The sequence below is a fragment of the Homo sapiens genome, chromosome 19 (assembly GCF_000001405.40).
Source record: "Homo sapiens chromosome 19, GRCh38.p14 Primary Assembly".
Taxonomy (NCBI): Eukaryota; Metazoa; Chordata; class Mammalia; order Primates; family Hominidae; genus Homo; species Homo sapiens.
In genome coordinates, this window is record NC_000019.10 from 10,103,869 (window position 1) to 10,126,571 (window position 22,703).

General features: G+C 55.5%; 5 protein-coding genes and 2 non-coding genes across 12 annotated transcripts in view, besides 9 other annotated features; 5 read left to right on the plus strand and 2 right to left on the minus strand.

Moving 5' to 3' along the window:
* ANGPTL6 (angiopoietin like 6) overlaps window positions 1-2,322 on the minus strand; it is a 13,853-nt gene extending 11,531 nt beyond the window's left edge. For 2 of the 3 annotated variants that reach the window (NM_001387347.1, XM_011528349.4), the window contains exon 1: window positions 1,149-1,822. The gene's annotated coding sequence lies outside the window, so the exon portion shown is untranslated. Of the gene's footprint in view, window positions 1-1,148; window positions 1,823-2,204 lie in introns of those variants that run through there. The other variant, NM_001387348.1, reaches the window with a different exon arrangement.
* Window positions 2,131-2,774: an enhancer, noted in NCBI's record as "H3K27ac hESC enhancer chr19:10216675-10217318 (GRCh37/hg19 assembly coordinates)". NCBI's record gives its function as "activates a minimal SCP1, AML or CMV promoter by ChIP-STARR-seq in naive and primed H9 embryonic stem cells {active_cell/tissue: H9 hESC(naive and primed)}" and the evidence as "EXISTENCE:reporter gene assay evidence [ECO:0000049][PMID:30033119]".
* PPAN (peter pan homolog) lies at window positions 2,355-8,144 on the plus strand. Of its 3 annotated transcripts, none has more exons than NM_001346139.1 (12): window positions 2,355-2,544; window positions 2,633-2,803; window positions 3,637-3,738; window positions 3,936-3,986; window positions 4,096-4,266; window positions 5,763-5,839; window positions 6,048-6,152; window positions 6,255-6,378; window positions 6,456-6,534; window positions 6,617-6,746; window positions 6,829-6,998; window positions 7,077-8,135. In NM_001346139.1, the coding sequence occupies exons 1-12, from the start codon at window positions 2,527-2,529 to the stop codon at window positions 7,295-7,297; spliced, it is 1,419 nt and encodes a 472-aa protein (NP_001333068.1). In that variant the 5' UTR covers window positions 2,355-2,526; the 3' UTR covers window positions 7,298-8,135. The 3 variants fall into 3 exon arrangements, with proteins under 3 accessions (NP_001333068.1, NP_001333070.1, NP_064615.3); NM_020230.7 differs by having other exon boundaries at window positions 2,494-2,544; window positions 6,045-6,152; window positions 7,077-8,144; NM_001346141.1 differs by having other exon boundaries at window positions 2,355-2,803; window positions 6,045-6,152.
* Window positions 2,371-2,420: an enhancer, noted in NCBI's record as "active region_13938". NCBI's record gives its function as "activates an Ori minimal core promoter by ATAC-STARR-seq in GM12878 lymphoblastoid cells {active_cell/tissue: GM12878}" and the evidence as "EXISTENCE:reporter gene assay evidence [ECO:0000049][PMID:35858748]".
* On the plus strand, window positions 2,494-11,504 carry PPAN-P2RY11 (PPAN-P2RY11 readthrough). Of its 2 annotated transcripts, none has more exons than NM_001198690.2 (13): window positions 2,494-2,544; window positions 2,633-2,803; window positions 3,637-3,738; window positions 3,936-3,986; window positions 4,096-4,266; window positions 5,763-5,839; window positions 6,045-6,152; window positions 6,255-6,378; window positions 6,456-6,534; window positions 6,617-6,746; window positions 6,829-6,998; window positions 7,077-7,216; window positions 9,765-11,504. In NM_001198690.2, exons 1-13 carry the CDS (start codon window positions 2,527-2,529, stop codon window positions 9,984-9,986), a joined length of 1,563 nt encoding a protein of 520 aa, NP_001185619.1. In that variant the 5' UTR covers window positions 2,494-2,526; the 3' UTR covers window positions 9,987-11,504. The 2 variants fall into 2 exon arrangements, with proteins under 2 accessions (NP_001185619.1, NP_001035754.1); NM_001040664.3 differs by having other exon boundaries at window positions 7,077-7,154.
* Window positions 2,641-2,690: a silencer, noted in NCBI's record as "silent region_10056". NCBI's record gives its function as "represses an Ori minimal core promoter by ATAC-STARR-seq in GM12878 lymphoblastoid cells {active_cell/tissue: GM12878}" and the evidence as "EXISTENCE:reporter gene assay evidence [ECO:0000049][PMID:35858748]".
* Window positions 3,783-3,867, plus strand: SNORD105 (small nucleolar RNA, C/D box 105). The gene has a single exon (NR_004381.1). It is a non-coding gene; the product is annotated as a small nucleolar RNA, C/D box 105 (small nucleolar RNA).
* Window positions 4,063-4,706: an enhancer, noted in NCBI's record as "H3K4me1 hESC enhancer chr19:10218607-10219250 (GRCh37/hg19 assembly coordinates)". NCBI's record gives its function as "activates a minimal SCP1, AML or CMV promoter by ChIP-STARR-seq in naive H9 embryonic stem cells {active_cell/tissue: H9 hESC(naive)}" and the evidence as "EXISTENCE:reporter gene assay evidence [ECO:0000049][PMID:30033119]".
* Window positions 5,618-6,199: an enhancer, noted in NCBI's record as "H3K27ac-H3K4me1 hESC enhancer chr19:10220162-10220743 (GRCh37/hg19 assembly coordinates)". NCBI's record gives its function as "activates a minimal SCP1, AML or CMV promoter by ChIP-STARR-seq in primed H9 embryonic stem cells {active_cell/tissue: H9 hESC(primed)}" and the evidence as "EXISTENCE:reporter gene assay evidence [ECO:0000049][PMID:30033119]".
* On the plus strand, window positions 5,881-5,972 carry SNORD105B (small nucleolar RNA, C/D box 105B). Its single transcript, NR_003688.1, has one exon. It is a non-coding gene; the product is annotated as a small nucleolar RNA, C/D box 105B (small nucleolar RNA).
* On the plus strand, window positions 7,825-11,504 carry P2RY11 (purinergic receptor P2Y11). Its single transcript, NM_002566.5, has 2 exons — window positions 7,825-7,872; window positions 9,765-11,504. Exons 1-2 carry the CDS (start codon window positions 7,854-7,856, stop codon window positions 10,868-10,870), a joined length of 1,125 nt encoding a protein of 374 aa, NP_002557.2. The 5' UTR covers window positions 7,825-7,853; the 3' UTR covers window positions 10,871-11,504.
* Window positions 9,575-9,644: an enhancer, noted in NCBI's record as "active region_13939". NCBI's record gives its function as "activates an Ori minimal core promoter by ATAC-STARR-seq in GM12878 lymphoblastoid cells {active_cell/tissue: GM12878}" and the evidence as "EXISTENCE:reporter gene assay evidence [ECO:0000049][PMID:35858748]".
* Window positions 9,805-10,099: a silencer, noted in NCBI's record as "tiled region #3609; K562 Repressive non-DNase unmatched - State 12:CtcfO". NCBI's record gives its function as "represses a minimal TATA promoter and a strong SV40 promoter by Sharpr-MPRA in K562 cells {active_cell/tissue: K562}" and the evidence as "EXISTENCE:reporter gene assay evidence [ECO:0000049][PMID:27701403]".
* EIF3G (eukaryotic translation initiation factor 3 subunit G) lies at window positions 11,146-16,031 on the minus strand. Its single transcript, NM_003755.5, has 11 exons — window positions 15,972-16,031; window positions 15,786-15,832; window positions 15,220-15,303; window positions 15,000-15,088; window positions 14,800-14,859; window positions 13,216-13,320; window positions 12,932-13,121; window positions 12,099-12,206; window positions 11,816-11,952; window positions 11,611-11,717; window positions 11,146-11,261 (listed from the first exon to the last, which is right to left on the minus strand). The coding sequence occupies exons 1-11, from the start codon at window positions 15,989-15,991 to the stop codon at window positions 11,246-11,248; spliced, it is 963 nt and encodes a 320-aa protein (NP_003746.2). The 5' UTR covers window positions 15,992-16,031; the 3' UTR covers window positions 11,146-11,245.
* Window positions 14,777-15,533: an enhancer, noted in NCBI's record as "H3K27ac-H3K4me1 hESC enhancer chr19:10229321-10230077 (GRCh37/hg19 assembly coordinates)". NCBI's record gives its function as "activates a minimal SCP1, AML or CMV promoter by ChIP-STARR-seq in naive and primed H9 embryonic stem cells {active_cell/tissue: H9 hESC(naive and primed)}" and the evidence as "EXISTENCE:reporter gene assay evidence [ECO:0000049][PMID:30033119]".
* Window positions 15,534-16,289: an enhancer, noted in NCBI's record as "H3K27ac-H3K4me1 hESC enhancer chr19:10230078-10230833 (GRCh37/hg19 assembly coordinates)". NCBI's record gives its function as "activates a minimal SCP1, AML or CMV promoter by ChIP-STARR-seq in naive and primed H9 embryonic stem cells {active_cell/tissue: H9 hESC(naive and primed)}" and the evidence as "EXISTENCE:reporter gene assay evidence [ECO:0000049][PMID:30033119]".

The window sequence follows — 22,703 nt, forward strand, 5'->3', positions numbered from 1 at the left end:
CAGATCACGAGGTCAGCAATTCGAGACCAGCCTGGCCAAGATGGTGAAACCCCGTCTCTACTAAAAATACAAAAATTTGCCGGGTGTGGTGGCCCATGCCTGTAATCCCAGCTACTCAGGAGGCTGAGGCAGGAGAATCGCTTGAACCCGGGGGGCGGAGGTTGCAGTGAGCCACTGCACTCCAGCCTGGGCGACAGAGTAAGACTCTGTCTCAAAAAAAAAAAAAAAAAAAAGAAAAGAAATAAAAATGTAAGATTTTGAGTCCACATAATTATTTGTTGAAAATAATACAAGTCAGTATAATAGAGAAGCATTCATATATTCAACACTGTGAGACAAAACACCAGAGACCTTGGATTTGATAATTGATCTGATATCCTGGACAGTATTCATATGTACAGTGATAGCTATCTTTCTTTGGTGTTTTTTTTGTTTTGTTTGTGTGTGTGGTGTGTGTGTGTGTGTGTGTGTGTGTGTGTAGTTTTATGGTTCTGAGTTGGTGGCCAGTAAGTTCCATGTAGTGTTGGCACTTATTTAATTAACTATTCATGATTTTGTTAATAGCTTGTTATAGAATTCAGGCATATATTTTTCAGCATAAGAAGCCAAGCACACCAGCTTGTCATTGGAGAGAATATATTAAGTGAGAAAAACATTCAGGAATCAGAGCTTTAACATGTTAAAGTTAGTGCTAAACATTGTCATATTGGATCTGAACCTATCCTAATATATAACCATAAAGCTTGACTTCTGCATTGGAACTATGCTTTCATAAATAAAGGATATCTCATTGATTAAAAAAAATTTTTAAAAAGACACAGCTGGAAACATAACAGTTTCAGGCAACAACTGTATGTTCCAAATATGGTCACACACACATCACAACTTAAAGGGAAATGGGGTGGGCTGAGTGGGTCTTTATCTGTGTGTCAGGCTTGTCCACATCCTGGTTCTTGTGATCACACAGTAGTGCACAGATACAAAACAGGTACACACAGTTGACACCCGGAAACCTATCCACCGCACCACAGAGGTCACCGTCTGTCTCCCACACACTCGGTCACATTTTCACACAAGTCAAATCACACGAGGACGGAACTGGGGGAAGTAACCATGCAGTCATTTCCCAGGGGTACAAAGAAACTCACATAGAGCCCCACAGAGCCCAGGCCCAGGGTCTGAGACCTGTCCAAAGGCCCCACCGACGACCAGCCACACGCCGGGAGAGTCACCTCCTTCCCCTGGTCTGCACCATCCTGAGCTCCCGAGTAACTCGAGTGGACTCCAGGGTTGAAAAAGGAAATGGTCGTCCCAGATCTGAGAGAGGCTGCCAGGCTGGGCTCTGGGCCTGGGTTGGGGCCCCCACACTGGGCCCCTCGGCCCCCCACCCTCAGCCCCCTCTGGCTTCCCCATTGGCAGTAGAGAGGGAGGGAACTTCATAAGTCACAGAGAGGGGCTGAAGAATACAGAGAGTCAGACAGATGGAGATGGGAGAGGCATAGGGAGATGGGAGAGACATAGGGAGATGGCAGAGAAAGGGAGAGACGGGGAGATGGGGAGAGACAGAGAGAGATGGGAAGATGGGGAGAGACCACAGGGAGGCAGATGAGAAGAAAGAAACAGGGATGGGGCCAGACACAGAGAAAGGAAACTTCTTTAGTTTCCATCTTCAGTTATAAATGATGAAAGAGACAACTGATGACAGAGACAAAGTTACAAGAGGGAGAAAGAGACAGGGGGAAGACGAGGGGGAGGGGAGACACATCTGGGGGAGAGGAGGAAGAATTGGGGTGCCAGAGAGAGCAAGGAGGGAGAGGAGGCCGATGGGGGAGGAGAGAGTAATGTTCAGCCCAGTGAGGGGGTGTCCCTTTCCCCCACTGCAAGGTTTTGGGGAAGAAGCCAGAGGCCTGAGGCCAAGACTGAGGCTTTGAGCGGAAAGAAGGAGGGGGCGAGTTATTCACGAAACGCCCGCCTTGCCCTGAGTTTCCAGAAGGTGATGTGGAGTTTCCATCCCTCAGCCTGTCTGCAGACAGGGGTACCCGGGGAGGACAGCTGGCCCAGAGGAGTTGCGAGACTAAAGTGAATGATTGCCACAGTCATTCCCTCCGGTGGCTTCTCCCCAAGTACTTGGCGCCAGAGCGCCCAACATTGTGCATACATGGTCGCTCCTAATTCGTGGGCCCGGGGGACATTATCAGCCTTACTTTGGGATATTTTAGGAGCCTCGGAATGCAGAAAGTGGTTTTAGCCCAGCTGGAGGAAATGGGCCGAAGCGGGATTCGAACCGGCGGATTCGTTTCTCTGCAGCCCGGAGCCGCGTAGCCCCGCCCCGGTCTCCCTAGAAACAGGCACCCGTGTCTCCATAGCAACCGCTCCATCTGATTGCCCCTCCCCGCTCCCAGAGGCCACCTAGTGCGCAGGCCCGCCTGATGTCGTCCCACGCCGTGCCGGCTCTCAGGCGCCGGAAGTGAGCTGCGCAGCGCCGGAAGCGGCGGACGCAGGAGGCCTCGTGGAGGACACAGCAGCATGGGACAGTCAGGGAGGGTAAGGCCCGGCAGCTTGGGAGGCAGGTGGCGCAGGTGGGGTCCCGGCCGAGGTCGCGGCGCTGACCCTTTGTCTCTCGTCGCCGCAGTCCCGGCACCAGAAGCGCGCCCGCGCCCAGGCGCAGCTCCGCAACCTCGAGGCCTATGCCGCGAACCCGCACTCGTTCGTGTTCACGCGAGGCTGCACGGGTCGCAACATCCGGCAGCTCAGCCTGGACGTGCGGCGGGTCATGGAGCCGCTCACTGCCAGCCGTCTGCAGGTTTGTACCCCACCCCCAGCCCGCCTCCACCCACCCTCGGCCTAGTCTTCGTAGCTGCAGTAATGGCTCCCGCTGTAAAACTGTGGGAGGACTTAAGTCTCCCCAGCTGGAAAAAAAGACCCTCATGGGGAGCATCATTTCTGCCTTTCAGGGCTTTTGCTGGGCTGGAGTGAGGGCGCGCAGCTTGGGAGATAGATAGTCGCCTAAGCCTGACAGTTAAGACTGGAATCTGGAGCCGGGCGTGGTGGCTCATGCCTGTATTCCCAGCATTTGGGGATGCTGATGCGGGAGGATCACTTGAGCCCAGGAATTCGAGACCAGCCTGAGCAGCATGGTGAAACCCCGTCTTTACAAAAAATAGAAAAATTAGTCGGATATGGTGTTGCGTGCCTGTAGTCCCGGCTACTCGGGAGGCTGAGGTGGGAGGATTCCTTGAGCCCAGGAAATTAAGGCTGTAGTGAATCGGGATCGTGCCACTTCACTCCAGTCTGGGCGACCGGAGGAGACCGTGTTAGAAAAAAAAAGACTAGAATCTGGAGGCAGCAAAGCAGGGTTGGAAACTGACTTCTCCCCAGTATCTGATGCAAGTTACTTAACCTCTCTGGGCCTGAGTTCGCTCATTTGTCAATGGGAAGATGCGCTGTGAGCAAGAGACAGAGTTAGAACTCAAATCTGCGTCCGACTGACTCTAAAGGCTAAGATCCTTTTGCTCCTCTGGGCTTGTTGAAAGGGTCAGATGCAAGACAGACCATAACAGGATCTGCACCGTCAGCTTATAGTTGTCACAACAAGGGATAAGCTATGTTTTCTTTTTTTCTTTTTGTCATTTCCAGGTTCGTAAGAAGAACTCGCTGAAGGACTGCGTGGCAGTGGCTGGGCCCCTCGGGGTCACACACTTTCTGATCCTGAGCAAAACAGAGACCAATGTCTACTTTGTGAGTAGACGCCCTCACCCTTCATCTCCCCCAGACCCCCCCTTCCCCTATCTCTCATGATGAACACATATGCCTCTGAGCTGCTGTGATTTCTGGCTTCAAAGTAAACGCTCTGAAGAAGAGATGGGGCAAAGGTGCCTACTCCGGGCACCTCTGCTAGACCCCTCCAGAGTCACTGATCTTTTCTTCTCCTGCAGAAGCTGATGCGCCTCCCAGGAGGCCCCACCTTGACCTTCCAGGTCAAGAAGGTGAGAGGGGTGGAGGTGGTACAAAGCCATGTGGGGTGGGAGCTGGACTTGGGGTTGTCCGCAGCCATGTGTGGTTGGTGGTCACCCCCTCCTCTCTCCTGTCCTACAGTACTCGCTGGTGCGTGATGTGGTCTCCTCACTGCGCCGGCACCGCATGCACGAGCAGCAGTTTGCCCACCCACCCCTCCTGGTACTCAACAGCTTTGGCCCCCATGGTATGCATGTGAAGCTCATGGCCACCATGTTCCAGAACCTGTTCCCCTCCATCAACGTGCACAAGGTGGGTCTGGCCTGGCGAGGTGGCAGGTATGGGGGGGTGCAGCGGATAGAGGTGCCACAGGCCCTCAGATGGATTGCTCACTCCTCCCAGCGCTGAGACTGGGAGCTCCTGGGTCTGCTGAGTCCTGAGGTCAAATCCCACTCCTGTGTCTGATGATGCTGGGCAAAAGTGTCCAGAGATTCCCCCAGCGGTCCACACCCCGTGAGCTGCACCTTTTCCAGCCGGTGGAAAGAAATACTGATGGAGCTCTGTTTCCCACGTGTGTTGAGTGCTGGGCTGAGCAGGATCGTAGCATCTCTTCTTAGGGCCCTGTTTTACAGAGGGAAGCTGCGGGCCCAGTGCTATGGCTTCGGCCTGTAATCCCAGTACTTTGGGAGGGCGAGGTGGGAGGATCGCTTGAAGCCAAGACTTTGAGATCAGCCTGTGCAACATAGCGAGACCCCATGTCTACAAAAAGTAGATTTTTAAAAAGCCCGGTGTGGCGGTGCATGCCTGTAGTACCAGCTACTGGGGAGGCTGAGGTGGGAGGATCACCTGAGCCCAGGAGGTCAAGGCTGCAGTGAGTTGTGTTCACGCCACTCTACTCCATCCTGGGTGACAAAGCGAGACACTGTCTCAAAAAAAAAAAAAAAAGCAAATCTGAGGCTGGCAGAGATGCTAAGTTTAGATTCCAGGGGGCAGGACTGGATTTTTAATTTCATCTGGCTCCTGAGTCCTAGCTCCTAATCCTTGTCACTAGTGACTCTCAGATGGGACTTATAAATTATATATAAGATATCAGTCATCAGGGAGGCTAATACGGCTCTGGGACCAGAATTTCTTGTTTACCTTTTTTTTTTTTTTTTGAGACGGAGTCTTGCTCTGTCTCCCAGGCTGGAGTGCGGTGGCACAATCTCATCTCATTGCAAGCTCCGCCTCCCAGGTTCACGCCATTCTCCTGCCTCAGCCTCCCGAGTAGCTGGGACTACAGGTGCCCGCCACCACACCCCGGCTAATTTTTTGTATTTTTAGTAGAGACAGGATTTCACCGTGTTAGCCAGGGTGGTCTTGATCTGACCTCGTGAGCTGCCCGCCTCGGCCTCCCAAAGTGCTGGGATTACAGGCGTGAGCCACCGTGCCCGGCCTTCTTTACTTTTTTTTTAAGAGACGGGGTCTCCGTACGTTGGTCTTGAACTCCTGGGCACAAGCAATCCTGCAGCCTCCGCTTCCCGAGTAGCTGAGACTACAGGCGTGCACCACCACATCCAACTCATTTTTCCATCTACTTTTTGTAGACATGGAGACTCGCCGTGTTGCCCAGGCTGGTTTTGAACTCCTGGGCTCAGGCAGTCCCACCACTTCAGCCTCTGGAGTAGCTAAAACTGCAGGTGCGAGCTGGAAGCAGCATTTCTAGCCAGTGCCACAGTCCACGAACAGTGTGTGTATCCCCCAAAGCCCCCACTTCCCCAAACTTTGCCATGAGTCTACTGGACTATGCTCTCTTCCTCCCCTTCCAGGTGAACCTGAACACCATCAAGCGCTGCCTCCTCATCGACTACAACCCCGACTCCCAGGAGCTGGACTTCCGCCACTAGTGAGTGTCCCAGCAGGATGGGAGACGAGGGGGTGCCGGGTGGGGGCCTCCACATGCGGCTGATGACAGCACTTCTGCTGAGACGCTGTGATTGCTCTGTCCAAAGTAAACGCCCTGACGCACTGTGGGAAGGGTGAGATGGGCACCGCCAGCCCCATCACGTGCCCCCTGACCACCCCCTTGCCGTCCACTCATGTTCCTGCAGTAGCATCAAAGTTGTTCCTGTGGGCGCGAGTCGCGGGATGAAGAAGCTGCTCCAGGAGAAGTTCCCCAACATGAGCCGCCTGCAGGACATCAGCGAGCTGCTGGCCACGTGAGGAGGGCATAGGGCGGGAGGCCACTGCGGCCCGGGGACCCCAGAACAGGACCGGGAGCCTGAGCTCCCCCACTGAGCCCTGTTATGTCCTACACACAGGGGCGCGGGGCTGTCGGAGAGCGAGGCAGAGCCTGACGGCGACCACAACATCACAGAGCTGCCTCAGGCTGTCGCTGGCCGTGGCAACATGCGGGCCCAGCAGAGTGCAGTGCGGCTCACCGAGGTGAGGCCCAGGGCAGGGGGACCCCCGGGCTCCACCAGTCCCAACGGTGGGCTGACGCTTCTTCCTCGTCCCCTCAGATCGGCCCGCGGATGACACTGCAGCTCATCAAGGTCCAGGAGGGCGTCGGGGAGGGCAAAGTGATGTTCCACAGTTTTGGTGAGGCCGGGGCCGCCGGGGGTGGGGGGTCATGGGTGTGGAGCTGCACCCGGATCTTGGTGACCCGCGTCTCTTGGCTCAGTGAGCAAGACGGAGGAGGAGCTGCAGGCCATCCTGGAAGCCAAGGAGAAGAAGCTGCGGCTGAAGGCGCAGAGGCAGGCCCAGCAGGCCCAGAATGTGCAGCGCAAGCAGGAGCAGCGGGAGGCCCACAGGTCCAGGCAGAGCTGGGAAGGGCAGGGCCAAGGGGGGGTCCCTGGGATGGGCGGCTATGTTGACCCCCACGCCCTCCTCCAGAAAGAAGAGCCTGGAGGGCATGAAGAAGGCACGGGTCGGGGGTAGTGATGAAGAGGCCTCTGGGATCCCTTCAAGGACGGCGAGCCTGGAGTTGGGTGAGGACGATGATGAACAGGAAGATGATGACATCGAGTATTTCTGCCAGGCGGTGGGCGAGGCGCCCAGTGAGGGTATGGAGTGGGGTCTGCAGCAGGGCACCCAGAGCCTGTCCTTGTCTCTGGGGGCCCTGACACTGTCTCTCCCCACAGACCTGTTCCCCGAGGCCAAGCAGAAACGGCTTGCCAAGTCTCCAGGGCGGAAGCGGAAGCGGTGGGAAATGGATCGAGGCAGGGGTCGCCTTTGTGACCAGAAGTTTCCCAAGACCAAGGACAAGTCCCAGGGAGCCCAGGCCAGGCGGGGGCCCAGAGGGGCTTCCCGGGATGGTGGGCGAGGCCGGGGCCGGGGCCGCCCAGGGAAGAGAGTGGCCTGAGCCCAAGCCGCACCGGAGCAGCGGCTGGATTGAACGCCCCAGATTGGGGCCCGAGATGTGGCCCTCGGTTTCCTTTCATAAAGGAGTTGTGTCCCCAGCCCTTCCACTCCAGTAAAGAACTGAATTGGCCAGGGGTCCACGTCAGCGTTTGGGATGGGGGATTCTGGAGCCATACAAAGCAACCCAGAGAGTCCTGGGCCGGCCACACCCGAGAGTCCCTCCCACCTGGTTTCTTCCTGGAAGCTGGGTCTCTCCCCTACCCTGCACGGGGTTGGTTTCATTGGTGGCAGCAGCAGCCATGAGTGGCCCCTCCCCCCAGTCCCACCAAAGAGCCGTGCAAGCAGACAGGTCACACTTTCAGCAGATGAGCTTGAACCTCAGGAGGGTTGTGGCACAATGAGGAAGGAAACGTGGGTGGAAAGGCACGCTGGCCTGCTCTGCTGGCTGGGCCAGTAACTGGGGATGGGGCTGGGGCAGGGCCCACTAAGCCACTGGTGACTGGGGGAGGGGCTGGGGAACTGGGTAGCAGACACAGGCTGAGGATCGGCACGGGAGCATGGCAGCCAACGTCTCGGGTAAGGAGAAGGCATGTTGGCTGTCTCTGGGGGTCTGCAGATTGTCAGGAGGTGGGGGTAGTGGGTATTGGTAAAACACCTAGGTCTGGGGCTGGGCACGGTGGCTCACGCCTGTAATCCCAGCACTTTGGGAGGTCGAGGGGGGTGGAACACGAGGTCAGGGGTTCGAGACCACCCTGACCAACAAGGAGAAACCCCGTCTCTACTAAAAATAAAAAAATTAGCTGGGCCTGGTGGCACATGCCTGTAATCCCAGCTACTCGGGAGGCTGAGACAAGAGAATCACTTAAACCCGGGAGGCGGAGGTTGCCATGAGCCGAGATTGCACCATTGCACTCCAGCTTGGGCAATGAGCGAAACTCCATCTCAAAAAAAAAAAGCCTAGGTCAAGGCTGGGTGTGGTGATGCGAGCCTGTGATTCCAGCTACTCGGGAGGCTGAGGCAGGGGGATCACTTGACCCCAGGAGGTCGAGACTGCACTGAGCTGTGATTGCACCACTGCACCTCAGCCTCGGTGACAGTGAAATCCTGTCTCCAAAAAAAAGCCACGTCTAGACGACACTTCCTCCTTAAGCAGGCTGGCGTTGGGAGCAGGGAGGCGCCTCCGGAGAAGCCTGTCCCCAGCCTGCAGAGGCAGGGGTGGGGTGCACAAGGAGTGAGTGCCCCTGTGCTGCTGTGCCCTGGGCACTGTGGTGAGCACTGGCACCAGTAATGGGTAAGCAGGCCCCCCCATCCTCCCGAAGGAGGGAGATTTTTCTCACCGTCATCAGGTGGCGCAGGGTATGGGGGAAAATAACGCAGGGAAGGGAGAGTGGAGGCACGAGGGCTGCTGTCAACAGTGGTTAGGGTGGCCTTGGGGCCTCTCGCAGGCAGGACCACGGACGTGGGAAGAGGAGCCTCAAGAATGTCTGGGTGTGGCTGGGCACGGTGGCTCACACTTGTAATCTCAGCACTTTGGGAGGCTGAGGCGGGCAGATCTGAGGTCAGGAATTCGAGACCTCTTGGCCAACATGGGGAAACCCCATCTCTACTAAAAATGCAAAATTTAAAATTAAACCAGGCGTGGTGGTGGGTGCCTGTAGTCCCAAATACTCAGGAAGCTGAGGCAGGAGAATCACTTGAACCCGGGAGGCAGAGGTTGCAGTGAGCTGAAGTCACATCATTGCACTCCAGCCTGGGTGATGAGAGTGAGACTCTGTCTCAAAAAAAAAAGTCTGGGTGCGAAGGTACCAAGGCACAAGTCTGCAAGAGCAGCCAGGAAGCCTGGGTGGGCTGGTGCGAGGGAGTGAGTCGCGGAGCACAGAGGGTGGCACTGGGGGGTATGGCGGGCGGGAGCGCTCTTGGGGGACCTTGTGGGGTGAGTCTGGCTTTTTGGCGGCAACTCCCTGGCCAAGTGTGAGCACCTGGAAGCAAAAGGATGGGGCAGGACTCCAGCGCTCGCGGGTGCTCTCTGGTGGCCACGGGGAGAAGAGGCTTTGGGCGGCGGCGGGTGCCAAGGTCAGGGCAGAGTGGGGGCTGGACCCCCACGGGGCTTTGGACGGCACAGATCTGAAGTGGAGCCGGCAGGCCTTGCTGGGGCTGGACTTTGGGGAGGAGGCCTCTAGTGGGGCCAGGTGTGGTGGGGGAGTAGGGTGGCCGCTGTCTGTGTTACCAGTGGACCTTGAGCTCCAAGACTGCCTGGCCCGCCTAAGCTGGTCCATTGGGGCCCAATGCATAACCCTGGCTCTGAGCCTCAATCCTGTCCACATAAAGGAGTGGAGCCCGGTCCCCCTCCAGGGAGGGGAAAGAACTCGTGTCCAGGGATCCACGCCATGGCAGACGTGGGCTCTTGGGGTAGCAGGAGCCGCCTTATGGGGGAATAGGGCTCAGCTGGTGACACCTTCTGCCCACAGGTGCCAAGTCCTGCCCTGCCAACTTCTTGGCAGCTGCCGACGACAAACTCAGTGGGTTCCAGGGGGACTTCCTGTGGCCCATACTGGTGGTTGAGTTCCTGGTGGCCGTGGCCAGCAATGGCCTGGCCCTGTACCGCTTCAGCATCCGGAAGCAGCGCCCATGGCACCCCGCCGTGGTCTTCTCTGTCCAGCTGGCAGTCAGCGACCTGCTCTGCGCCCTGACGCTGCCCCCGCTGGCCGCCTACCTCTATCCCCCCAAGCACTGGCGCTATGGGGAGGCCGCGTGCCGCCTGGAGCGCTTCCTCTTCACCTGCAACCTGCTGGGCAGCGTCATCTTCATCACCTGCATCAGCCTCAACCGCTACCTGGGCATCGTGCACCCCTTCTTCGCCCGAAGCCACCTGCGACCCAAGCACGCCTGGGCCGTGAGCGCTGCCGGCTGGGTCCTGGCCGCCCTGCTGGCCATGCCCACACTCAGCTTCTCCCACCTGAAGAGGCCGCAGCAGGGGGCGGGCAACTGCAGCGTGGCCAGGCCCGAGGCCTGCATCAAGTGTCTGGGGACAGCAGACCACGGGCTGGCGGCCTACAGAGCGTATAGCCTGGTGCTGGCGGGGTTGGGCTGCGGCCTGCCGCTGCTGCTCACGCTGGCAGCCTACGGCGCCCTCGGGCGGGCCGTGCTACGCAGCCCAGGCATGACTGTGGCCGAGAAGCTGCGTGTGGCAGCGTTGGTGGCCAGTGGTGTGGCCCTCTACGCCAGCTCCTATGTGCCCTACCACATCATGCGGGTGCTCAACGTGGATGCTCGGCGGCGCTGGAGCACCCGCTGCCCGAGCTTTGCAGACATAGCCCAGGCCACAGCAGCCCTGGAGCTGGGGCCCTACGTGGGCTACCAGGTGATGCGGGGCCTCATGCCCCTGGCCTTCTGTGTCCACCCTCTACTCTACATGGCCGCAGTGCCCAGCCTGGGCTGCTGCTGCCGACACTGCCCCGGCTACAGGGACAGCTGGAACCCAGAGGACGCCAAGAGCACTGGCCAAGCCCTGCCCCTCAATGCCACAGCCGCCCCTAAACCGTCAGAGCCCCAGTCCCGTGAGCTGAGCCAATGATGTGGCCTAGCGGAAGCTGCCTCCTCACCCTAGGTGTTGCTGGAGAACCCTGAGGGCAGGGCCCGAGCCCCGACACATCCCTTCCCCCAAAAAGCAACACCTGTGCTTGCAGCCAGGTCAGGCCCAGCTGCAGCCCAGGCAGGAGCAGTCGCCTTTCCCACCCACAGCGCTGGCCACAGGGCTCCCTGCAGGGTCAGGGACCAGACCACGCCCAGAGGAGGGGAGGCACTGGCCCCCGCCACAGGACTGGAGACGCAAGAACAAAAAGAACCAAGTAGAGAGAGTGGAGCTGCTTTATTGCCCTTGGAGCCCGCGCTCTCGGAGGCTGTCTTCTGTCGCCAAGGGTCCCGGACCGAGTACACAGTGGCAGCTGGCTTAGTTGGTGGACGGCCTGGGGTAGGGGAGGGTGGCAGGTATAAGACTTCTGGGGGCACCCCAAGACCCCAGACACCCAAGTGGCATCTTGGGGGTGGGTGGGCAGAGGACGGGGTAATGTGAGGACGAAGCGGGCACGGAGCCAGATGGCCAGTCTCCAGGCCTGGTCCACGGACTGGCAGGGACCCCAGGCACAAGAGCTGCCACCCCTCTGCCCGGTTTTGGAAAAAAACAATAAAGGACTGTCCCCTCAAAACCAGCCGGGGGACTGTTAAATTGGCTCAGGGCTATTGGTTGGCCCAACACTCCGTGAAGGTGCTGGGACAAGGCAGGGAGCAGGGGCTGGGGCAGGGATGGAGTCTTACTTGGCCCACTCGACGTTGAGGATGAGGTGGTCGTAGCCAAAGCCGGACACCCCGGCAATGGCACGCGCAGCATCCTCGCGGCGGTGGAAGCTGATGAAGGCAAAGCCCTGTGGAGGGGCGGGATGGGGTCGGGCACGAGCTAGGACAGGCGACCCTAGGACAAGTGACCCTCACACAGCCCCACCGTGCCTGCCTGCCTGCCCACCTTGGATTGGCCAGTGGTCTTGTCCTTAGCCAGGTAGATGCGGGAGATGGAGCCGAAAGGCCGGAAGAGCTCCTGCAGGTCGGTCTCACGCGTGTCCTCTGACAAGTTGGTGACACGGATGGTGGCGTTGTCGTCGGCTGTGTGGGAGAGGGGAGGTGGCTGTGAGGGGGAGGACACTGCCCAGCCCTCGTGTGCTGCCCAGCCCTCGTGTGCACGCTTCGGGGATAATTACGAGGTGCCGGGAGGTGCCCACCCACCAGCCTGGCGTCGGGGTGCCCCTCACCTCTGCGGTTGGGCTGCATGGACTCCCCGCGGCGGCTGGCCCCGTCGCGCAGGCTCGGCGGCACATACTTCCCTGTCTTGTTCTGCGTGGCCTGCACCGGCTCTAGCTCTGGGGACCAAAAGACAGTCAAGTTCAACCTCACTGTGGCGCAGGCGTGGGGACAGAGCCGCCCCAGGAAGCTCGGGCTTCAGTGTTGAGCCAGCGCAGGCACTGTGTGCCAAACCACAGGCAGCCAGTTGGCCACGAGGACACCAAGGTGACACCTGAGAAGCTGACACCATTTGAGCTCCCAGCCAGCGACACTGGTGGAGGAGGAGGAGGAGGAGCCCCGACCCCACCCCAGAGAGGGCGGGAGGACAACAGGGGCAGCAGCCTCACATGCACAGCAACGGCAGACATGGGACACACAACAGGAACAGCGCCCAGGTCCCCCTCGCGTGGCAGGCGACAAGTGCACGTCTGCACTCTCACACTCGCCACCAGCAAATCCCACCAAAGAATTCGGACGGTACAGCCACAGGCATGCAACGGAGACACTATACACACAGTGCGCACACACGATGTGGGGTGGTCAGCACCCTGGGGCCGACAGACAGCAGCTCATCAGGACAGTCACAGGGCCACCAGCAAAGTCACAGCTGCCAAGTCGCACATATATGGGAGACGCCCGTCTCCCAACCATAGGAGGTACAGCCAATTAGGAAGGCACAGACGCCCCGAGGAGAGTCTGGCACCATCAAACCCGCTGCACTGTCGTGCGGGAGATGACAGCACGAAGGCAGCAGTGGGGACAGAACCCGTGCACTGACAGCAGGACCCTCCCACCCCCACACCTCCCGGCAGCTTCTCCTTCTCGCCAGTAGACAGGCCCAGCTGCTCGGCCAGCTCCTTCTGCATGGGCCCCAGCGTATCCTTGTAGGGGCAGCGGGTGGTCCAGTGGTCGCCCTTGCAGATGCGGCAGGACACGATCTTCTGGCCCTTGAGTTTGTTCATAGGGTCCTCCTCCTCCTGGCAGTTCAGGTCCTGGCAGGGGCGGGTTGGGGGGAGCTCAGAGGCGGCTAAGGCACCCCCTTTGCCCCACCCCAGGATGCCAGCCCCACCTGATTGCCCCGCTTACCTCTTTGCTGGTGATGAACGTCATAGAGACATCGTCACTGACAGTGGTGGTGGCCACATTGGGTCCGGGGGGGTCAAACTCTGAGTTCCCGAACTTCTTCCAGTTCTGGGCTCAGGGAGGGATGGGGGACAGTTGAGGGCAGGGGCAGGCTGGGTTCCACAGTGGGGTGCCCTAGACCTACAACAGCCACCCCCAGAGTGTCTGGGCCTCAAACCCCATCTTCATCCTCCTCAAGCACTCCCTGAACAGTCCTGGCGACAGTTGTTTCCTGAGTACACGCCAGGCCTGAGCTCCAGGAGGCAGGGCAGCTGTCAGCCTCCGGGTCCAGGTGACAGCTACACAGCGTGGGGCCTGCGCAGTCTGGCGGACCAGCTCCCACCAGGGCGCAATACTCAGGGATGTGCAGGGGTCCACCTAGACCTCCGGGCCCTTGAGCTAGACAACCTGAGCCTCAGCTTCCTCCCTTATAAAACGGGAACCACAAAAGCTTCCTGCCTCCCTGGGCTCCTAAGGAGACTGAATGAGAAACACTTCGTGCAAGGTGCTTGGCATGGGGTATGTTACAATTAAGTGCACAGCAAGCTGTTCTAAGTATACTTATTGCTAACGCTTCTTCCAAAAACTGCTGCGACCACCTCCTGCTTCCGTTCCTGCAGGTTGACAGGCCAAGAGGAATAAGAATCTAACCGTGGCTGGGCGCAGTGGCTCCCTCCTGTAATCCCAGCACTTTGAGAGGCGAAGGTGGGAGATCTCTCAAGCCCAGGAGCTGGAGACCAGCCTGGGCAACATAGTGAAACCCCATCTCTACAAACAATTAAAATTAGCCGGTGTGGCAGTGCACACCTGTAATCTCAGCTACTCAGGAGGGTGGGGTGGGAGGATGGCTTGAGCCTGGGAGTTCAAGGCTGCAGTAAGCTATGATCGTGCCACTGTACTCCAGCCTGGGCAACAGAACTGGACACTGTGTCTTTAAAAAAATTAAAAGAATCTAATTTTTATTCGATATTTACAATCGATGTTATTTGATATTTATTAATATAATTTGATATCTATCATCGAACTTTGATTAGATATTTATCATCATTTATTTAGTTGCTATTTATCGACTGCTGTGCCTTGGACTTTTCAGGGCCCCAAGACAGTGCAAGCACCCCAGGCCTCAGTTCAGCTTCAACAAAATAGGTACAAAGAGGTAAGCCTGGCCGGGTGCGATGGCTCACACCTGTAATCCCAACACTTTGGGAGGCCTAGGTGCGCAGATCATGTGAGGTCAGGAGTTCGAGACCAGCCTGGCCAACATGGCAAAACCCCGTCTCTACTAAAAGTACAAAAATTAGCTGGCGTGGTGGCACATGCCTGTAACCCCAGCTACTCGGGAGGCTGAGGCAGGAGAATCACTTGAACCCAGGAGGCGGAGGTTGCAGTGAGTCGAGATCGTGCCACTGCACTTCAGCCTGGGGGACAGAGCAACACTCTGTCTCAAAAAAAAAAAAAAAAAAGAGTTAAGCCCCATCTCTAAACACAAAGTCCGGGAGCACGGTTTTCCAATTCCTCTAGGTTAGCCCTGGGGAAGAAGAGCCTCACCTTCCTCCTTGCGACAGCCTTTGAAGCCTTCCGGGTCTCAATCCTGAAGGTGCGGACAATCTGAGGATGGGAGGGGAGAAGGGTCAGGCTCCTGGGACCAAGGGATCTCCTTTATCAACCTCCTCAACACACCCCACCCCATTCCGGTCTATGGGCCCCCAAGCACAAGGGTCCCCACTCCCTGCACCCCCCACCCTCACCTTGAACTTCTTGCCATCCTCATCTATCTTGTACTCTGTCACTGTCTTTATGTTTCCGTTGATGACCTCCTTGGGAGGCGGCAGTGGAGCTGGCAGAAGGGGAAAAACAGAGAAAGACTGAGCCCTGGGTCATGGGGATCAGGAGCGGCAGGGCTGGAGGGAGAGGCAGCCCGGACACCGAGTGGCAGTCCTCACTCACCTCCCGGCAGTCCTCACTCACCTCCCGGCAGTAGCTCTGGCTCTGGGCTGGTGTCACCTGTGGCCAGAGGGATCCCCTTGAGGAGCTCGCTGGTGACACATTTGTCTGCAAAAGGCAGCGTAGGAAGGAGGAGTCAGCTCCAGGGGCAGGAGCTCCCCAGCTGCGATGGAAGGGCTTTTGGGATGACGCCTACAGCAAAAGCGGAGAAAGGCAGGCCAAGGGCAGAGGGCTGGCCAGGCAACGCACTGGGATGGCCCTGTGGGGACTCGGAGTGGCAAGGATGGGAGATCCCTCGTAGGAAGGTGGGTGCCAGGCCATGAAGCCAACCAGGCGCCAGTAGAGAAACAGGAGACGGGAGATTACAACTTCCTCCCTGGAGGGGAACAGCTGGGAGGCAGTGGCATGGGAGGAAGAGGGACCCGCCGGGGAACACCTGGAGTTGGCAACAGGCGGGTCCCAAGGAGGATGGCGCGGGGCAGGGGCAGACCGTGACGGGGTACACGGTGCCAGACTGGGAGATGGAAGCAGGCGGCAGTCACACGGCTTGGGCCTGGCCGCGAATACCCCGGGCGACCGTGTACACTTACCGTCCTCCCCCTCCTCCTCCACCTGGTCGGCCCAACTGGGCTTCGAACTGCGGAAACAAATGTGTGGGGAACGAAGATTAAGTCAGCCAGGCCCGGCTCCCGCAGCCTCGGCGTACCCAGGCCCCATAATACTTCCCAGAGCACCCCAACCGCTTCCCGTGCCCCTTTCCGCGATCGCCGACTCACTCAAAGTCTCCAGTAGGCATCGCAAAAAGTATTCTCCACGCAGCCCAAGCCCGGCCAGAGAGCGGAAGCGGGCGAAAACGAGACTTCCGGTGCCGCCGTCGCCGCCTAGAGGGGCCCAGCCGCGGCACCCACAGCGACACCTGCGGACGGAGGTGGAGGCGCACGCGGCTGTGTATGCTACTGGGCGCTGCTGGTACCAGAGTAGGGCCAGCGGGGGCAGAGGCTGATTTCAGGGCTGGTCCTATTAACCTTTAAAATTAAAATAGGCCAGGCGAGGTGGCTCAAGCCTGTAATCCTCGCACTTTGGGAGGTCGAGGCGGGCGGATCACCTGAGGTAAGGAGTTCGAGACCAGCTTGGCCAACGTGGCGAAACCCCGTCACTACTAAAAACACAAAAATTAACTGGGCGTGGTAGTGCGTGCCTGCAGTTCCAGCTACTCGGGAGGCTGAGGCAGGAGAATCGCTTGAACCCGGGAGGCGGAGGTTGCAGTGAGCCGAGATCGCGCCACTGCACTCCAGCCTGGCGACAGAGCGAGACACCGTCTCAAAAAAAAAAAAAAAAAAAAAATTAGCCAGGCGTGGTGGTGGGCACCTGTAATCCCAGCTACTCGGGAGGCTGAGGCGGGAGAATCGCTTGAACCCAGGAGGCGGAGGCTGCAGTGAGCCGAGATCGCACCACTGCACTCCAGCCTGGGGCTGCAGAGTGAGACTCCGTCTCAGAAAAATAAGTAAAATTAAAATAAATAATAATAATCATAAAGCTCACTTATTGAGTGCTTATTGTATATGAAGCATGGTGAGGAGGATATTACTTCCATTTTACAGCTGAAGAAACTGAGGCTCAGACTGGGTGCAGTGGCGCCTGCCTGTAATCCCGCACTTTGGGAGACCAAGGCGTGGGGATGGCTTGAGGCCAGGAGTTTGAGACAAGCCTGGGCAACATAGTGAGACCCCTGTCTCTAAAAAAGAAAAAAAGAAAAAGAAAGAAAAAAGAAACCAAAGTTCGGGGAAAACAATCCTTTTGCTTAAACTGTTCCTTGTCTTCTTTCCCGATCCCAATGATTCAGATGCCAAGTGGCCTCCCCTCAGCCACTCCCTCTTCTTTTCTTTGTAGCATTCTTGGCTTTCCGGTATAATTTTGTGCATTTACTTGTTTATTGCTCAGCTCCTTGCTCTAAGCACAACCGTCCTCAGTCGAAGTGATTCATGATGACTCCCCAGGGGAAAAAACTGGTCCTCAGGGAGGAAAAAAATCTTAGATATTGTGGTCTTCCAAAGCCAGCTCTATCAGACAGCATTTATCCCTAAGTATTTAGTTTCTGCCTTTAGGGAGATATTAAATGTAATTAAATTGAAATTAATTTAGTTGATGTAAATTCAATTTTAGGATAATTCGGGTTTTCTCCTAAGAAGGGTGATAATGAACAAAAAACGTTTGACAATGTCGGACGCAGTGGCTCACGCCTGTAATCCCAGCACTTTGAGAGGCCAAGATGGGCAGATCTCTTGAAGTCAGGAGTTCGAGACCAGCCTGGGCAATATGGCGAAACCCCGTCTTTACTAAAAATACAAAAATTAGCTGGGTGTGGTGGCCCGCGCCTGTAATCCCAGAACTTTGGGAGACTGAGGCAGAAGGATCACTTCAGCCCTGGAATTCGACCAGCCTGGGCAACACATAGTGAGACCCCCCATCTCTAAAAAACAACTTTTTTTTTTTTTTTTGAGATGGAGTCTCACTCTGTCGCCCAGGCTGGAGTGCAGCGGCGCAATCGCGGCTCACTGCAACCTCTGCCTTCCGGGTTCTAGTGATTCTCCTGCCTCAGCCTCCCGAGTAGCTGGGATTACAGATGACCACCACCACGCCGTGCTAATTTTTGTGTTTTTAGTAGACGGTTTAGTAGAGACGGGGGCCCACCTCGGCCTCCCAAGGTGCTGGGATTACAGGTGTGAGCCACTGCGCCCGGCCCTTAAAAAAATTTTTTTTTTTTAATCAGCTGGGCATAGTTCTGTGTGCCTGTAGTCCCAGATACTCAGGAGGCTGAGGTGGGAGAACAGCTTCAGCCCAGGAGGTTGAGCCATGATCATGCGACTGTACTTCAGCCTGGGTAACAGAGAGAGACCCTGTCTCAAAAACACACACACGCACACACACACACGCAACAAAACAAAAAATAACTTGTAAGGGAGAATGCCCTGAGAAAAATAAATAAGAAGACAGGAAAAAAAAGTTTATGCTTTTTTATCCTCTGAGTTGTGAGTGAGGAGGCCACTCAAGTGTTTGGAATATCACCAACTTTTCTTGTGGAAAAAATTATTCTAGAAGCCTGTAGAGAGCCAAGTGGAAGGGAAAACATTAGCTGGAGAGCAGGAAAGAGAGGCACGCCGCTGTGGCCTTTCAGGAGGGTGGCCTGGCTATATTGGTGAAAATATGAAGCTGGTCCAAAGGACTGATAAACATTTTTACAAGCTTACTCAAATGTACTCTGAGCAACACAAAATCCAAACAACCCAGCAGATTGGGCAAAGCTTCAAAAATTCGATATCACCCCGTGGTAGTAAAGATGTTATAGGGAAACAGGCTGGGCACCTGTAATCGGGAGGCCGAGGTGGGTGGATCACCTGAGGTTAGGAGTTCAAGACCAGCCCCTGGCCAACATGGTGAGATGCCGTCTCTACTAAAAATACAAAAAAAAAAAAAAAAAAATCTGGCCATGGTGGTGGGTGCCTGTAATCCCAGCTACTTGGGAGGCTGAGGCAGGAGAATCGCCATTGCACTCCAGCCTGGGCGACAGAGCAAGACTCCATCTCAAAAAAAAAAAAAAAAAAAAGAGGAAGCGATATATAAAATGGCATATATTACAGGAACCAATTTGTGTAAATCTTCAACAGCACATAGATATGCAGATATATGCAAATCATTTCCTGGAAAGAAAGAATCAGAACCTGTTAATGAGGAATGCTTTGGAAAGAAGGCACCAAGAAAGGAAATATTATTTTTGGACATGTATTAATATATAATATGCATTTATGTAATATATGTGAGATGTAACATATAAATATATTTCTTGGCTGGGCACTGTGGTTCGTGCCTATAATCCCAGCAGTTTTGGAGGCCAAGGCAGAAAGATTTCTTGAGCCCAGGAGTTCAAGACCAGACTAGGCAACATCATTGAGACCCCATCACTACACACAAAAAATTGCTGGGTGTGGTAATGCACGCCTGTAGTCCCAGCTACCTGGGAGGCTGAGGTAGGAGGATTGCTTGAGCCCAGGAGGTCAAGGCTGCAGTGAGCTATGATTGTGCCATTACACTCTGGCCTGGGTGACAGAGCAAAAACCCTGTCTCTAAAAAAGAAAGAGGCTGAGCACAGTGGCTCACGTCTGTAATCCCAGCACTTTGGGAGGCCAAGGCAGGCAGATGACCTGAGGTCAGGAGATCAAGACCAGCCTGGAAAACGTGGTGAAAACCCATCTCTATTAAAAATACAAAAATTACCTGAGCATGTTGGTGCATGTCTGTAATCCCAGCTACTCAGGAGGCTGAGGCAGGAGAATCGCTGGAGCCCAGGAGGTGAGGCTGCCATGAGCCAAGTGCTGGGATTACACAGGTGTGAGCCACATCAAGGTTTGGGTGCAAGAGTACATCTGGTTATAGATTACAGAAGCATAATACCCTGACCCCATTAGATGTTATTTTATGTGTAGGAAAAGGTTTGAACCAGGTCCTTTTTTTTTTTTTTTTTTTTGAGATGGAGTCTCACTCTGTTGCCCAGGCTGGAGGGCAGTGGCACAATCTCGGCTCACTGCAAGCTCCGCCTCCTGGGTTCACGCCATTCTCCTGCCTCAGCCTCCTGAGTAGCTGGGACTACAGGCACCCGCCACCACGCCCAGCTAATTTTTGTATGTTTAGTCGAGATGGGGTTTCACCGTGTTAGCCAGGATGGTCTTGATCTCCCGACCTTGTGATCCGCCCACCTTGGCCTCCCAAAGTGCTGGGATTACAGGTGTGACCCACCCGTGCCCGGCCCAGGTCCTTTTTTTCTTTTTTCTTTTTTTTTTGGGGGACGGAGTCTTGCTCTATTGCCCAGGCTGGAGTGCAGTGGTGCGATCTCAGCTCACTGCAACCTCCGCCTCCTGGGTTCAAGCGGTTCTCCCGCCTCAGCCTCCTGAGTAGCTGGGATTACAGGCATGCACACCACCACACCCGGCTAATTTTGTATTTTTAGTAGAGACGGGGGTTTCTCCATATTGGTCAGGGTAGTCTCGAACTCCCGACCTCAGGTGATCCGCCTGCCTGGGCCTCCCAAAGTGCTGGGATTACAGGCATGAGCCACCGCACCTGGCACGCCTTTTTTTTTTTTTTTTTTTTTTTGAGACAGGGTCTTTCTCTGTCACCCAGGCTGGAGTGCAGTGGCACGATCACAGCTCACTGCAGCCTCAACCTCCCCAGGCTAAGGTGATGCCCTTGCCCTGGTCTCCCAAAATGCTGGGATCACAGGCATGAACCACCGTGCCCAGACTCATTTAAGGAATATAGTGACTCGGGCAAGGGACATGGTGTGCCCTGTGCTCTGTCCTGTTTTGTCTTCAAAGCCTTGTTCTGTAGAGCTGCGCAGACGTGTCTCACGTGTCTCAGAGTCAGGGGCTTTGTGAAATTACGCTGGAAAGCAGAATTGAGCAAACCCAGCTTAACATTAGTTACTTTTTCTCACATTTTCACAACAAAATATCACAGACTAGGAGGCTTAAACAGCACACATTTATTTTCTCAGTTCTGGAGGCTGGAAGTCCAAGATCACAGTGTCGGCAGGGTTGGTTTCTTCTGAGGTGGGGGCACCTTCTCCCTCGGTCCTCACGTGGCCTCCTCTGTGTGTGTCTATGTCCCAATCTCTTCTTCTAAGGACATCAGTCATATTGGATTAGGGCCCACCCTAATGACCTCATTTAAACTTTTTTTTTTTAATTATTTTTTTTAAAGGTGAAGTCTCACTCTGTAGTCCAGGCTGGAGTGCAGTGGTGCAATCTCAGCTAATGGCAACCTCCACCTCCTGGGTTCCAGTGATTCTCCTGCCTCAGCCTCCCGAGTAGCTGGGTCTACAGGCATGTGCCACCACACCTGGCTAATTTTTGTATTTTTGTATTTCTAGTAGAGACGGGGTTTCACCAAGTTGGCCAGGCTGGTCTCAAACTCCTGATCTCAAGTGGTTTGCCTGCCACGGCCTCCCAACGTGCTGGGATTACAGGCATAAGCCACCACACCTGGGTTTAATTTTCTCTCTAAAGGTCCTGTTTCTGCTGGGCACAGTGGATCACGTCTGTAATCCCAGCACATTGGGAGGCCAAGGTGGGCGGATCCCTTGAGGTCAGGAGTTCGAGACCAGCCTGGCCAACATAGCGAAACCCCTGTTGTCTACTACAAATACAAAAATTAGCCAGGTGTGGTGGCAGGCATCTGTAATCCCAGCTGCTCGGGAGGCTGAGGCATGGCAATCCCTTGAACCCGGGAGGCAGAGGTTGCCATGAACCAATACTGCGCCACTGAACTCCAGCCTGGGCGATGGAGTGAGACTCCTTTTTTTTTTTTGAGATGGAGTTTTGCTCTTGTTGCCCAGGCTGGAGTGCAGTGGCATGATCTTAGCTCACCGCAACCTCCACCTCCCGGGTTCAAGTGATTCTCCTGCCTCAGCTTCCCTAGTAGCTGGAATTACAGGCATGTGCCACCATGCCCAGCTAATTTTGTATTTTTAGTAGAGACGGGGTTTCTCCATGTTGGCCAGGCTAGTCTTGAACTCCAAACTCAGGTGATTCGCCTGTCTTGGCCTCCCAAAGTGCTAGGATTATAGGTGTGAGCCGCCGCACCCGGCCAAGACTTTGTAAAAAAAAATAAAAATAGGCCATGCGCGGTGGCTCACACCTGTAATCCCAGCACTTTGGGAGGCCGAGGTGGGAGGATCACTTGAGGTCAGGAGTTCGAGACGAGCCTGGCCAACATGATGATACCCCATCTCTACTAAAAATACAAAAATCAGCTGGGTGTGGCCAGGCATGGTGGCTCACGCCTGTAATCCCAGCACTTTGGGAGGCCAAGGTAGGTGGATCACCTGAGGTTGGGAGTTCGAGACCAGCCTGACCAACATGGAGAAACCCTGTCTCTCCTAAAAATACAAAATTAGCTGGGCGTGGTGGCGCATGCCTGTAATCCCAGCTACTCAGGAGGCTGAGGCAGGAGAATCGCTTGAACCCAGGAGGCAGAGGTTGTGGTGAGCCGAGATCCTGCCATTGCAGTCCAGCCTGGGCAACGAGAAGGTAACTCTGTTTCAAAAGAAAAAAAAAAAAAACAGCTGGGCGTGGTGGTGCGTGCCTGTAATCCCAGCTACTAAGGAGGCTGAGGCAGGAGAATCACTTGAACCCAGGAGGCGGAGGTTGCAGCGAACCAAGATTGCGCCATTGCACTCCAGCCTAGGCAACAGAGACTCCATCTCAAAAAAAAAAAAAAAGTAAATAGAGATAAAAAGAAAGAAATACTAAATTGATGGACATGCAGATGTGGTAACAGCCAAAAAACAGGGGCAGAAAGGAGACGTGGCAATGTCCTTACTGTGGTTTTTCTAGGGAAGTAGATGGGCACCTCAGCCTTACATGTTTATTTCATTTAAAAAACAGCCTTCCACTATGAACTATGGTATGGTGGTTCCTCAAAACATTAAAAATAGAACCACCAAATGACCCAGC